This window comes from Homo sapiens, chromosome X (assembly GCF_000001405.40).
Source record: "Homo sapiens chromosome X, GRCh38.p14 Primary Assembly".
NCBI classification, from domain to species: Eukaryota; Metazoa; Chordata; class Mammalia; order Primates; family Hominidae; genus Homo; species Homo sapiens.
The window spans coordinates 96,684,401-96,699,464 of NC_000023.11; the positions used below are offsets into that span (position 1 = coordinate 96,684,401).

The 15,064-nt window shown below is 41.3% G+C and overlaps 1 protein-coding gene across 2 annotated transcripts in view, besides 2 other annotated features; it reads left to right on the forward strand.

Moving 5' to 3' along the window:
* Positions 230 to 945: an enhancer, noted in NCBI's record as "H3K27ac hESC enhancer chrX:95939629-95940344 (GRCh37/hg19 assembly coordinates)". NCBI's record gives its function as "activates a minimal SCP1, AML or CMV promoter by ChIP-STARR-seq in naive and primed H9 embryonic stem cells {active_cell/tissue: H9 hESC(naive and primed)}" and the evidence as "EXISTENCE:reporter gene assay evidence [ECO:0000049][PMID:30033119]".
* The window catches only part of DIAPH2 (diaphanous related formin 2), a 920,156-nt gene continuing 905,533 nt past the window's right edge, over positions 442 to 15,064 (forward strand). For both annotated transcript variants that reach the window (NM_006729.5, NM_007309.4), the window contains exon 1: positions 442 to 790. In NM_006729.5, coding sequence (NP_006720.1) covers positions 659 to 790 — 132 coding nt within the window. In that variant the 5' untranslated portion in view covers positions 442 to 658. The remainder of the gene's footprint in view (positions 791 to 15,064) is intronic.
* Positions 946 to 1,659: an enhancer, noted in NCBI's record as "H3K27ac hESC enhancer chrX:95940345-95941058 (GRCh37/hg19 assembly coordinates)". NCBI's record gives its function as "activates a minimal SCP1, AML or CMV promoter by ChIP-STARR-seq in naive and primed H9 embryonic stem cells {active_cell/tissue: H9 hESC(naive and primed)}" and the evidence as "EXISTENCE:reporter gene assay evidence [ECO:0000049][PMID:30033119]".

Sequence of the window (15,064 nt, forward strand, 5' to 3'; positions counted from 1 at the left end):
AGAGGCCTCAGGGAGGGAAGGTGCTGTGGCCCACAGAAGTGAAAGCTGATACTCAGGTTGACCCGCCAGTGAAACTTACAGGCGGATCTTCCCGGGCCTCAGTTTCCCCATCTCTAAAATGGGCTACCCTTCCTTTCTCTTGACTAGTTCCCTCCCTGTTCTCGCTGGGCCACTAGGAAGTGAAATCAGTGCCTAACCGCAGCTGAAAGTGCTCTGTTAGGCTCCAGTCACCGCGCCGGGCATGCTCAGTAGCTGGGGCCGGCTCGGCTGCGGGAGTAGGAAGCAGCTTTGCGCGCCCGGGCGGCCGATGCGGGCACTTTGAAGAATCACGTGTGTTGAGGCCCTCTTAAAGAGATAGGCACCTACTTTTCCCTCCACCCTAAACACCGCCCTGAGGGCGGCGGCGACCGTGGTAATTGCAACTGCTCAGGGGCAGGGCTTGCCCCAGCGCCGAGTAGTGGCAACGGCGTGGTTGCGTCGGGGGTGCCTGGGAGCCTGGAGTCCCGGGGGCCTGAAATCGGCAGCTTCCCGGGCAGACACTCTCTCCCTCAGGAAGAGGTGCCGCCGAGTCAGCGCGGGGCAGTGTGAGCGCCCCGAGGTGCTTTCTCAGTTGAGGAGAGGTGGGGTTACAGGGCACAGGTGACAGGGCCGGAGAAAGATGGAGCAGCCCGGGGCGGCGGCGTCGGGAGCGGGAGGCGGCAGCGAGGAACCCGGTGGGGGCCGGAGCAACAAGCGGAGCGCGGGGAACCGGGCCGCCAATGAAGAGGAAACGAAAAACAAACCCAAATTGGTGAGTGCTCCCGCAGCCCCCGCCGGCCTTAGGGACAGGGAGAGCCCCGGGATCCTCCTGCCATTGAACACGGGGGCACCCGGGGCCCCCTCCCAAGGATGACCGCGACCTCGCTGTGCAACTCGGGGAGCCGCTAAAGGAGTGGCCACGCCGAGGCGCGGAGACGGCGTGGGGGCGGAAGAGCACCCCCTTCTCTACTTAACCCCTTTCTCACTCTTGTCAGCCCGGGAGGCGGTGCGGGAAGGAGAAAGGCCCAGCCCCAACTTGGGGACACCCCGAGTACTGGGTAGGGCTGTTGTTTGTCTAACTTGTGGGCGCAAACCTTTGCGCGATTCCATTCTCCTCCCACTTCTTGTTAGTTGCTGTTTTGCCTCCTAACGCGTAGGGTCCGGGGCAGGGGAACCTCCCTCCTTTTTATTCCAAGTCCTTGGGAGCCCACCTACAGCTTCGCAAATCAAGAAGAACACTATTTATGCTCCCAGTCTTTCTACTTTACCAGAAATCTCAGGAAGAGGCGCCTACGTGCCTTTTTCCTCCTCCTTGCCTCTCTCCATGTGCTCTCCCAAGAAATGTTTCTTTGGAAGGGTGGGGGCGCGTGGGAGTTTGAGGCTGGGTGAGGTACCACCAACTGTCGAGTGTGTGTAATAGGCATAGTCATACAGTACTTCCACTTAGTTGATTAAGAACGCTCAAAAGCAGTAGGCACAAACTGTGCAAATCTCACCGTGCTGATAGTGTGAACCGATGGTAGCAGTCCATTTCCTGCCACTGAATGTGCAGAGGAATGAAATCGATGAGGCCTGGTATTGCATTGGGAAATACTGGAGTTTCCTCAGCTCATCAGAAGGGTTCCGCTTTTTGTAAACTTTCTAATTTGGGTGGTGTGAGGGGAAAGGGTTTTCCTGTACAAATTCAGCAGATACTCCTTAGAGCTGTATTCTTAGTCCAGATCCGAAGCACAAGCCACATGTTGAATGTATAGATTTCAGCTTTAACTACCAACTTGATTATAATAGACAAGGAGAGGGTGACATATAAATAAAGCCGTTTCTTATGGCATCTGGCCATTTGGTTTGGATCCAGTACAAAACTGTGGTTTAATCAGTGATTAAAAATTTAAGTAAAAAGTTAACTGATAGTTTCCACAAATGGTTTGGTACGTCTAGCAAGAATCTGCCACTTTTAAGAAGTATGCTTTCGAGAAAAAAAAAAACACTTATCTCTGTTAGTAGTAACACCTTGATTATATTCTTCTCTTCCCTTTAGCCATTTGTCCTGATTCATCTTTTATGTTTTACTTGCTTTGACAAGGTAACTAGATAGTTATGAGATCGTATCATTTTCAGTTCCTAGCTAACTTCACTGTTCCGGTTCCTAGCTAACTTCACTGTTCCGTGTTGAACATAGCTTGATACGGTAGAACAAGATTTGAATCCAAGAGTTTGTTAATATTAACATGAATTTTCTTTTTTTGCTCAAACATAACTTTTGAGCCTTACGTGATTTTACAAGCAGATGTGTCAGAGTTAACAAAAACAAATTTAGGAAGACATTGTGGCACATTTTAAGGCAAGCAAGTTGACCAAACAGTAAGATTTAGTAAGCTTTTCAGGAAAGAATTCATCTGGGATTCTTAGAAGTTTGCTAGTAAGATACAACTTTACTTAGATGAAATTTTTTTATTTTGAGTATTATGTTAATAATCTCTGAACTAGTCCTTAATTTGTGTGTGTATATGAGTGTAAAGGAGTTGTGGTATGGGATTATAAAAGAGAGCCATATGGTGATAGAAATTATTTGTGTAGGTGATCTTGGGGCATAGGGGTTCTTAAACTCCTGAAATTGTATGAAAATATTTGAGTGTATATGGGTACATTTATTTTTCTGGGCCCCATGGCTTTCATCAGTTTTTCAAAGGCATCCATTACCTATAGAAGAGTAAGAACTATGGCATTACAAAAGATAGAAAGTAAAGGAAAGAATAGTTGATTCCACTCTAAGTTACTGAGTAGGGAAGAAGGGGAAATGGCATTGACCACACAGGTGATTGATATTGAAACGAATTCTTCTAGTGGTAAAAAAGAAGTTAACTACTCAATGTCTACATAGATTAAAATTTCCGCTACAGAGGAAAATTAATTCAGTCGCTCCAGTATAATGGATTCATAAGGTATAAGGCTTGTGTAGTTTGGTTGTTTTCATTTAGTTCCTCAGAATTCTGGAAAAATGGAAATGGAACACATATTTTCTTTTCTTTTTTTTTTTTTGGGACGAAGTCTCGCTCTGTTGCCATGGCTGGAGTCCAGTGGCGCGATCTTGGCTCACTGCAACCTCTGCCTCCCGGGTTCAAGTGATTCTCCTGCCTCAGCCTCCTGAGTAGCTGGGATTACAGGCACGTGCCACCACACCCAGCTAATTTTTGTATTTTTAGTAGAGACGGGATTTCACCATGTTGGTCAGCCTGGAAAGCAGATTTTCTATAGAGAGGAACTGCTTTCATTTATATCCTCAACTTTTTAATGAGTATTAGTGAGAAATTTTTCAGAGTGGCATTTCAACACTATAATGATTTCTATTTAAGATTACTTAAATAAAAATTTAATGGAATTCACTTCAGTTTTTTTCATATAAGCATCCTCATAATGACCCTTTTGTTTTGATTCTTTTAAAATAAGGCATTCCTGTCTTGGACTCATCACATTTTGAATAATGCATTAGTAGTAGAGTTTTGGATTTTATGTAACTATTTTGGTTAGGCCCAGATTGCAACATGTCATCAAACAGCATGAATCTTAGATTAATTTGTAATTTGATGTCAACCATGGAATGCATTTTGTTAAATTGAGTAGAAGAGAAAGCTCTATAAATGTTGTGAAGGAACTACATCTTGAATCCTACTTATTTAAGGCAGTGACTTAACCATTAAGAGAGGCCAATGTTGATGCAGAACACCGCACCCCACACCACACGGTAGTGTAGAGTGACCTAACAGTATTTGATGTTTTTGCATTTTTGACTTTGTGTTCCTGCATAATTTCTGAAGCCTTTGGTTCTTCAAACAGTAAAGTCAAATTAGTTAATTTTTCTGGTTATTATGTAACTTCCTATTTGGTTATTTGTTTACAACTGGATAAATTATGTTTTTATTTATTTATTTATTTTGAGACGGAGTCTCGCTCTGTTGCCCAGGCTGGAGTGCAGTGGTGTGATCTCGGCCCACTGCAACCTCTGCCTCCTGGGTGCAAGCGATTCTCCTGCCTCAGCCTCCCTAGCAGCTGGGATTACAGGTGTGCACCACCAGGCCCAGCTAATCTTTTTTGTATTTTTGTAGAGACGGGGTTTCACCATATTGGCCAGGCTGGTCTTGAATTCTTGACCTCAAGTGATCCACCCACCTCCACCTCCCAAAGTGCTAGGATTACAGGCTTGAGCCACTGCACCCAGTCTTGATTTTTAATGATAAGGTATGAGCAACAATGATTTCATTTATGCAATACAGGTTTACTGAGTACCTACTGTGTGCTAGGCATAATTCTAAGGGTTGGTGATACAAAGATACTTGTAGTCTACTGAGACAGACAGGGAAGTTAATTAATGCTTAAAATGCAATGTGAGCCAGACGTGGTAGCTTGTGCCTATAATCCCAGCTACACAGGCTGCTAAGGCAGGAGGATTTCTTGAGCTCAGGAGTTTGAAGCTGCAGTGAGCTGTGACTATACCACTGTATTACAGCCTTGGCGACAGAGAACCCATCTCTTTAAGGAAAAAAAAAAAAGCAGTGTGATAAGTTGCTATAGGAATATGCATGGTTGGGGGTGGTCATGGAGAGGCATCTACGTAGAATTGCATGCTTGAGTAAGAAAAGGCTTATCGCAGTAGGTGACATTTGCAGCTGAAGGCTGAAGAAAATAGGTGAGGGAAAGGCATTCTAGGTTGAAAAAACAACATATACAAAGGTAAACAGATAAGGGAGCATATCCAATAAAGAAAGTTCACTTAGATGAATATGGCTGAAACAAAGGGTACACATGGTAGACTTGCTAGAAAAGAGACGGGGTCCGGATCATGATGGATCTTGTATGCCATGTTAGAGTTTCAACTTCTTTCTGAAAGTAGGGGTAACCCATTAAAGAGATTAAGGCGGAGAATGACCTGATCAGATTTGGGTTTCAGAAAAAAAAGTACTTTGGAGAATTTCTTGGAAAAGCATGCTAGAATGGAGGCAGGAAGACCATTTAGAAGGAGCAGAGTAGCATAAAAGAGTTTTTGATATTTGGAGACCTGGATTCCAGTTGCAGCTTATCCATTCATTCATTTACCAGCTCATCCATTTACTAGGTGTTTTTCTCTGCACCTCAGTTTCCTTCTGCCACCTCCCTTGCCTCTCCTTAGTACCACACACCCTGAACATCCCCACCAAATCTGAAATGGCCACCCCTTTCTCTTTTATAACTTTCACCCCCTTTCACAGCCCAGCTCATGTCTCAATATTCTCTCACTCTTCCATTAAACACCGATTACTTCAGTTTAGTGAGGGCTTTCCTTCTTCTGGACTCAATAACTGTCATGAGTCTGAATGTTACATGCTGATCTTGTCTCTGCAAATATTTTAAACTGCCTCTGGGAATGGGTCCCATTTTATGTCTATTCTTGAAAACCTGGCAGGCCGGTGCTTGGGTGCAAAACTATTCAGTAAATAATTATTAGCTGGGGATTTTTTTCCCCTATATACCAGGTATTTTGAGAGTGTAAATTGGTGAAAAGAGGCTTTTTAAAAAAATGTTTATTTGTATGTGCCTTTTTTTTTTTTAAAGTATATGTACTCCATCAATTGAACCTATCCATACATTCCTCTTTGTCTTTTCTCCAATTTTGAAACTCAGTAAACTTCTTCAGGGCTGTGAGAACTCTTCTACCCCCAGCTTGTTTGAATTCTTGTGATGTCAGAGCCTAAACTTCCAAGCATGGAAACAGTACCAACAACGATGAGCCAAGTAACATTTTACTCTTATTAGCAGGAGACTTCATATTATTGGCAAAAGAATATGGAACGGAGAGCCAAAAGACCTGGGTTCCAGTGTCCCATCTGTCTTTTATTTGCTTGTGATTTCTGATGAGCCATTTAGCACCAGAAGTTTGAGCTCTTTGATTAATGTTTGCCAGTTGGGGATAATGCTGCCTGCCTGATTTGCTTCACAAGGTGTTTTAGATAAAATACAGTAAGGAATGAGAAAGCATTAGGAAATTCTATATTGTTATACAAATATAGAGCATTTTTATTAACCCCTTATATTACTTGAATCAAATATGATTATGGTTGGATGGTTTAATGTCTTTCTTGCATTTTGACAGCACTAATGTTATTATTGTATAAAGTACCATAATATGGTTATATGTTGAAAGATTCCTTATTCTCTCCCCAATACCATTTGTCCCTTTGGAGGAATATGCATTCTATCCTTTTACTAAGATTTCATTCTGTTGAATGAATATAAGATGTGAGTCTAATTTTTTTCCATGATAATTTTTTGGAGGACTAGTCTACCCTTTTCTTTCATTGTGTCAATTTGAGGCATTAAAATTTTTTTAAACAAAACTTCCATTTGATATCTGTGACATTATGCCTTGTCAGGCAGCTTACTGCCTTTGTACAAATAAAGAAACTGAGTCACTGAAATGTTAAGAGGACTGCTTTAGAGATAAGTTTAAAAGCTACCTCCTCTATTGTAGAAATTATCCGTAGCACTGAGTCATTGTGCTTCAGGGACTCTGAAGGTGAAAAAGTTATTCAATTTTTCTTCTTTTGTTCCTTTTTGGAACAATTCTAATTGTAATCCACCTAGATATTATTAAGCTCTGGCAGTAGCAACATGTTACTGAAGTGAAATCATGTTCTTTTCCAACCTGCTTTCAAAGAACACTGTAAATAACAGCATACATAATATATGCTAATTTATATAAATCAGCACATCTGGTTAAATGTTACTGGGTACCACTAGCACTACAGGGGTTATTGTTGAAGACCCAACTCCAGTCTACCATGCAGAAGAAACCGGTTCCTTCTGCTGGATTTGGGGTGTTTGATACATTTTTTTCCCCTCAAGACAGGAGAAACTATGATGATGTCCAGGTAACTTAAAATATAGTTATTAGCTTGATATCCAAGTGGGCATGTTGTGGAAGACACCCATTGTGGGATACAGCTCAAAACTGATGCATTTAAAGAAAGATTAAGATATATTTTCACATAGCTATTTATTGTGAATGTCAGTAATGGAGAGAAATTAACTCATACTGATTTAAAACTTATTTTCCTCATCAGGTTGAGTCTGTTTCCAAATAATATACTCTGGCTGTAGCTTAAACAGACAACTGAATTCTGGTATTTAACTGACTTTGTGTGAGGTTACCTGGCAGGGAAAGGTATTGGTCCCTTTCTCATGAAAGAATGTAGAAAACAAAATTCTTACTTATCACCATTTGCACAGTCTTTGGTTTACTGAAGATTTTACTGTATTGCTTTAAGGAGAGTAAGCTACATTGCTACAAATACATACCAGCATATTGGCCACCAGCTGTATACAGTGTGGCCTATGAATGAGTGAGAAGCTTCTAGGTAGCTATTAAGGCAGGCCTAGGTAGGAATCCAACACTTTATTAGGAAGGAATTATTCCGAAATGGCTGTTGACTCAATCACCTGGCAGTTCTGGCACTCACCCAAGGGAGAAGAGATTTTGGGTACAATCCTTTTTAAAAAATCTATTTGTTGTTCTGTGATATCATAGACATCCAGGCTTTAAAAAGAAAGATCTGCTCAAAATTAAGAGGAATTTTAACCTACCCTTAATTCGTTGGTCTGTTATTAAGCTAAAAGTAAAAGAAATAAACTTTTAAACTTCATAATATGAGCCAGTTAATGAGACTTTTTTACAAAACTTAAACAAATTTTCAAACGTGCTAAAAAGTAGAATAGTACAATGAACCACCACCATCTATCCATTGCCCAGATATAAGTTATCTACATTTTGCAACATTTGCTTGATCCATCCTTTATTTTTCCCTTGCTAAAGTATTTTAGTGCAAATCTCAGATATCTTGTCATTTTACTCCTACATACTGTCACGTCTTTAAAAATTAAAATTAACATATTCCTTGGTATCATCCAGCATTCATTCCATAATCAAATATTACCAATTGCCTAAAAAAATTAGATTTTTGATCTAAGGTGTACCTAATTGATATACATGTCACTGAACTCCTTAAACAAATACAGCTTTAAATTACTGGTAAAATCTTATTCAGAGTTACTCCACATAAAGTGCTATCATAAAGCCTCAGCCCAAATTAAGTTCACTTCTGTCTTTAATTCTGTAGAAGTATCTGGAAAGGTTGACTATACAAGGGTGGATAGACTCCTTGGAACAGCTGTTATGTACCATCAAAAATAGAACAAATTAGTTTTGGCTTTACTCACTGGTTGGGCAATCACTAATTCTTCATTTTGCAATTTGTGAAGTGGGGTGGGGCTTATGTGTAAGAATTTTCCTTTCAGGGAAATGCTGTAGATAGTTAGGCAAAGGAAAATTATTCTTCATTTCTCTAGATAAAGCGTTCATATGACTCTTTGACATTCACACCCCACCACAACAACTAAGTTTATGTTACTGGCTCTAGTTTTATTTCAAAACAAATGCCGGTTTGGTCTATCTTTGTTTTTCAGCCCCTTTGATATAGTCTAGGTTGCTGAATCTGGATAATTGGGTGAGTAAACCTTTACATAGAAGTTATTCTTATTGAGATGTTTGTGGGCTTACAATTGAAAATCAGACTACACTAATGAGGTGATGGAGCTGGGGATGGGTGGAGTAGGTAAATATGAGAAATCAACTTGGGCAAATGGCCTAGACTCCACACAGATTTGCTAAAGAAATTGTGTAACTATTACTTTCCAGACAGCAGTTTAGTGCTGTTATTGTGCTGAGAGGCAATAGGCAAATAATTTCACTAGCTGTAGACTCAAGTAGATTTAGGCTAGTAATCTGTCTCCACTCTGCAACTTCTAGACTGACCATTTACTAACCCAGTCAGTTGGGTAGTTTTCCTCAAAACAGATAGATGAGTGATAATTGTTGGAGCCAGAGAGCTGGCATTTTCTTCTTTTGTTTGGCCCGGGAGGGAAAACTATGGAGGTGGTGTTTTATGTGCTCTGAAATCAATCACTGATAAAGTCTTAAATGCTTAGTAGTCTATTGTGCTGGCTGAAACTGTTTACAAAGATTCTATATGTAGATAGGAAGACCTTGTATAGGCTGTACACTTGCATTGTGAGCTTTAATAATGTATACGTATAACAGAGACCAGGTCGGTATGTATGGGTGGGCCCTGACCAAGGGTGTGAGACCACAGAGGTCACACCACTTACCAAATCATGTGCCAGTTACAAGACTATGTCTTCCTGGGGCTGCGTTTTCTGATTCACACAGAGGCACCATATGGGCTAGCTAATACATTTAAAGCCAGATGGATTTTAGTCTCATACCTGATAAGAAATTCAGCAAGGATTCCGGGCATGGTGGCTCACGCCTGTAGTCCCAGGACTTTGGGAGGCTGAGGCGGGTGGATCACCTGAGGTCAGAAGTTTGAGACCAGCCTGGCCAACATGGTGAAACCCCATCTCTACTAAAAATACAAAAATTAGCTGTGCATGATGGGAGACGCCTGTAATCCCAGCTACTCGGGAGGCTGAGGCAGAAGAATTGCTTGAACCCAGAAGGCAGAGGTTGCAGTGAGCCAAGATTGCACCATTGTACTCTAGCATGGGCAACAAGAGTGAAACTTCATTTTGAGTAGGGATTTCTTATTTGTCATTGGTTCTGAGAAAAGAATGTAAGATGTATATTTATGTAATATCCTACACCTGATTACTTTTGCTTTTGAATTATTGAAATCTTCAAATGTAGATGGCTGTGCCCTTGAGGGCCTAGGTTATAGTTCAGTATGTTCATTATCTTCCCCAACTTAAGGGTTGAGTTCTGTTATAGCTAATTGTAGATCAATTAGCTTAAGGCTCCTCCCTTTCTGCACTCCTTTCAGCAATTTTCTTGACATAATTGTTTCACAGAGTTTTATATGGTTACGCATTATCTAGGCTGCATTTTTTTTTTTTTTAGATGGAGTCTCACTCTGTCACCCAGGCTGGAGTGCAGTGGCCTGATCTCTGCTTACTGCAACCTCCGCCTCCCGGGTTCAAGCGATTCTTCTGCCTCAGCCTCCCGAGTACCTGGGATTACAAGCATGCACCACCACGCCCAGCTAATTTTTGTATTTTTAGTAGAGATGGGGTTTCCCAATGTTTCCCAGGCTAGTCTCAAACTCCTGACCTCAAGTGATCCGCCCTCCTGGGCCTCCCAAAGTGCTGGGATTACAGGCATGAGCTACCGCGCCTGGCTGCATTGTTTTTTGAAGTTTGTACCATGCTTATTTCCACTTTCATTGCTCACGATACAGGGCAGAACATATAGAAAGTTAAGATGGGTTAAAACAAATTTGGCAGAAGCATTTCCTCTGATAATATGCTCTGCAATCTAGTACCTCACATTACAAAATCAACGTTTTTCAGAAGAGTCAGTGTGTACATAAAATATTTGTGAGTGAAAATAAACTTCTTAGGGTGCCCTCAGCTTGTTTTTCATTGACATTGCATTAGTTTACATTATCTACCTCCCCACCCCCACTTTGGTTGACTAGCTAATGGTCTTTTTTTTTTTTTTTTTTGAGACAGAGTCTCGCTCTGTCGCCCGGGCTGAAGCACAGTGGCATGATTTCGGCTCACTGCAACCTCCACTTCTTGGGTTCAAAAGATTCTCCTGCCTCAGCCTCCTGAGTAGCTGGTATCACAGGTGTACATCACCCCACCCGGCTAATTTTTTGTGTGTTTTTAGTAGAGACAGGGTTTTGCCATTTTGGCCAGGCTGGTCCTGAACTCCTGGCCTCAAGTGATATGCCTGCCTCGGCCTCCCAAAGTGCTGGAGTTACAGGTATGAGCCACAACGCCTGGCGCTAATGGTCTTTAAACAAGCTGTTACAGGGAAGAATAAGTTTATGATTCAAAAATGGCCTGGATTTTATCCATGCTGGCAGTTTAGATTTTCACGTGTTTGTTTTACGAAAGTAGGGCTTCCCTGTATTCTCTTATCTCAAATTCTTAGGCTTCTTCATTACAGCCTATACTTGCTTCATCAAACTGCATTCAGATGGTCTTGTAAGTTCCCATGAGAGCAAAATCCTACATTTTAATATAAGCTGAGTTGGTCTGGGACAAAATACTAGATTTTAAATGGCCATTATCTCTGTATAAAATGGAGCTGAGGTATTAGTTGCACTTTACAGTAGGAACTGTGTAGGGCTCTGGGCCCAATTTTTCACATTCTTCCTATGGGTTCTGTTATAGCTAATTGTAGATCAAGATATGTTACAAATCCCTACTTTCAACCTCCTCTCTCCTCCTTAAATAATGTTACTACTTGCATGTTTATAACTCTGAAGGGCATCTTATTTCTTGTTGTTTTTACTGATTTCTGTGACTATTATCAATGGTGTATCCTATTGTCTGACCACGGAGATAACAGGCAGAAGGATGGCCATTGGATGTTAAATCGATTACTGAACATGACAGAGATTTATTTTAAAGCATTTCCTATCCTCACTCATCACCACGTAGTTATGAACTAGTCAAAACTTCATTTTGATCTTAGCACCACCACTTCATGTTTTTCAAGATGCCTACATTGTATTTTATGGAATCTAAATGTATTTAATATGCTATACAGAGTTGAAATAAGCTAAATAGGATATTTGATCCTATTAAGTGTTTTTTAGGAGTTTGTTTCTGGTTATTTAAAAAGGTTGGGCTGGGTGCAGTGGCTGATGCCTATAATCCTAGCACTTTGGGAGGCCAAGGCAGGAGGATTGCTTGAGCCCAGGAGGTTGAGGCTGCAGTGAGCTGTGATCGTACCACTGCATTCCAGCCTGGGTGACAGAGTGAGACCCTGACTCTAAAAGAAAAGAAAAATTTTAAAAAAAGATCCTGTAGAGATAAGCCGACTACTTTTTAAAAATGTGACTCTGGACAAGTCTTTTATTTTTCTTCTCTCTGGGTGTCAGTGTATTCTGTAAAATAAGGGAATCGAAATAGATGATCTACAAAGTTCCATTTAGCTCTGGCATACTGGGAGTCAAAGTTTATTGAAAGCTGTAATACATCTACCCTAACATAAATACAAGACCTCTGGATTCCAGTTAGACAAAAAGTTGGAATTAGGCTGAATGCTAAAGAGTGAATATCCCAGTTAACTTTATTGTCCTGTTTCTGGAGTCTAGGTTAGCCTAGTCTAGTGAAGGCCACATCAACGTTTCTTTTTAACTATGAATTGTACGGAAGGTAATGGTCTGAGCCCTAGGGAATGCTGGCTTCCTCTGCGTCATCCTGATTCTTGGGAGGATGCTTTGGTTCAGTGACCAAGTACAGTATGCAAGCCTTCCCAGAGATGATTCTCAATAGTACACAATATCATAGGTACCAGTTTTTGTTCTAAGTGCTTTGCGTGTATTTGTTAAGAACTGTGCAAGGTCTGGGATTTTCCCTTACTTACCTACCTGTTAACTGTTTAATGGATGATTGCAGAAGACCCAAAGGACAAAAGACAGTTTATTATTCATTGCAAAAGCAGTAGCCAGAATGTCAGCATGACATGCTGGTTCACTATGACCATAAGTCCCATCGTGGGTAGACCAGCATGATGGCCACAAACGGAGTCAGTGACATTGCAGGAGAGGAACTCTGAGCTTGGGGGTTTGCTACTTTTATAGCATTAAGAAGTCAGCTTGATCTTTGGGGTGGGGAGATATCACCTCATCCTCAAGGTTGTTTGCTACAAACACAGCCATGGGAAATGGCCCCAGTAAAATGCTGTCAGTGCCTTTTAGTCTTGGCATAGCCAGCAAGAATGGGCAGGGGATGCTCAGGGATTCATGGCAGATTGCCTCCTTCATCAGTTTTAACTAATTTCATCCTCACAGCAATCATTTTGTAGGTGAAGAAAACGTCTCCAAGCAGATGAGTAACTGGCCCGAGGACATGCAAAGGTGAATTTAGAATTGAAGACCAATGTGGGGCCAGATGTGGTGGCTCACACCTGTAATCCCAGCACTTTGGGCGGCCGAGGCAGGTGGATCACCAGAGGTCAGGAGTTCAAGACCAGCCTGGCCAACATGGTGGAACCCTGTCTCTACTGAAAATACAAAAATTAGCCAGGCATGGTGGCATGTACCTGTAATCCCAGCTACCTGGGAGGCCGAGGCAGGAGAATTGCTTGATCCCGGGAGGCAGAGGTTGCAGTGAGCCGAGATCCGCCACTGCACTTCAGCCTGGGCAACAGAGCGAGACTCTGTCTCAAAAAAATAAAATATTTTTAAAAATAAAATAGAATTCAAGACCAATGTGACTGTAAAATGTATGTTTTACACCACGATTTTCTATACTGCCTGAGAACCTCAAGGTAGCTCTAAATTGAAGACCTAGTGGTTCTCTAGACTGGTGATGGTGGGACCTAGCCTAGATTTGCACTCTGCTTATGTATAATTTAGAAGACAGAGTTCAGGGGCCATTCGTTTTAGTGCCATTGTCAAAAAAAAAAAAATTCTTTGAATCACTGCCATGAAGTAATGGGTCAGAAATGTGACCACTAAGAAAAAGCCAAGAGGACAAAAGTGATATGGCTGTGGATTTTAAGGCTACTTGAACACAGTTCTTAAAAATACCAGCCTGTGATAGCCCACCACTGGGGAAAAAAAAAATACCTGTCTAGCAGTCTGGCCTTTATTAACTAATTGCATGGCCAGCAGAAGGCCTGTGTACTTTACTACTGTTGCATATTGCATATGATTTTCTTGTTGTTTGTACGTCAGCCTTGCAGAGACTAGCTTCTGAAGAGGTTACATTGCAAGTTATACTGCCTACTTCATGTTTTAGCTTCTCTCTCTCCTCTATTGCCCACTTCCTTTCTGTTTGTGATCTTTTGCATGAAGTAAAAGTGCTTTGGAAAAATTAATGCTATCTCCTGTTAAACAAGTACACGATATGCATTGTTTCTTGTTTAGGGGAGTGCCAAGAACCACCTACCCTCTCCTGCTGCTTCCTGCGTGTGCTTTGCCTAAAGATTGGCTGCTATAAAAGTGTGGTATATTCAGCCAAGTGCTATCTTTTTAATTAGTTTGCAGAAAGTGTTGTGACAAACTATTTTTGTGTTGACTTGTGACGAGTAATAGACCCCTAAACTACGGGCGTTAAGTGCCAGACAATATGGAAGTGCATAATGTAGTTTGAGTTCTAGTCCCCTTAGTTTGATCCATCATCCTTCCCCAAAGAAAAAGCCCCTAATTTTTAAAAATGTGACAGGTAAAATAGATTACGAATATACCAGTATGTGTCTGGAGCCTGAAATTGGCCTATTTCTTATAATTACTAATCTTAAACTTTTTTTTTTTTTTTTTTAAGAGATGAGGTCTTGCTCTGTTGCCCAGACTGGAATGCAGTGGCATGATCATAGCTCACTGCAAACTCAAACTCCTGGGTTCAGGTTATCCTCCTCCCTTAGCATCCCAAGTAGCTGGTACTACAGGCATGTGCCACCATGCCCCACTAAATTTTTTTTTTTTTTCAGTAGAGACAGCATTTTGCTGTGTTGCCCAGGCTGGTCTGGAACTCCTGGCCTCAAGTGATCCTCCTGCCTCAACTCAGCCTCTCACTTGGATTATAGGAATGAGCCACCACACCTGGCTTGATTACCAATGTTAATGAGCTAATATTTCCATATTGGTTCTGTTCATACAACTGTGTACAACACAGCATGAAACTAGAAAGTGAAGGATATCTTAAGCTCTCATAATGATAGAGACATAACTGGGAAAGCTGATAATTAAGCAGACTAAGAATCTTAGTAAATTTTTGTTTTTCAAATACTTCTTATCAATTTTTACAAATTCATATTTTCTCTAAATATAGTCCTGGTTGTTGATGTTCTTTTGTTTTTCACTCCATCTAACCCAAAGGGCTTCGTGTTACGGATAAATATGTAAGGAAGGATATAGCATTCCCATGTCCCAAAAACTGTGTTGTTCTTTTTATTTAGACCAGTGATTTTCAGTGGGGGCTAATTTTACCTCCCAGGGAACATTTGGTAATGTCTGGAGACATTTTTGGTTCTCACAACTGG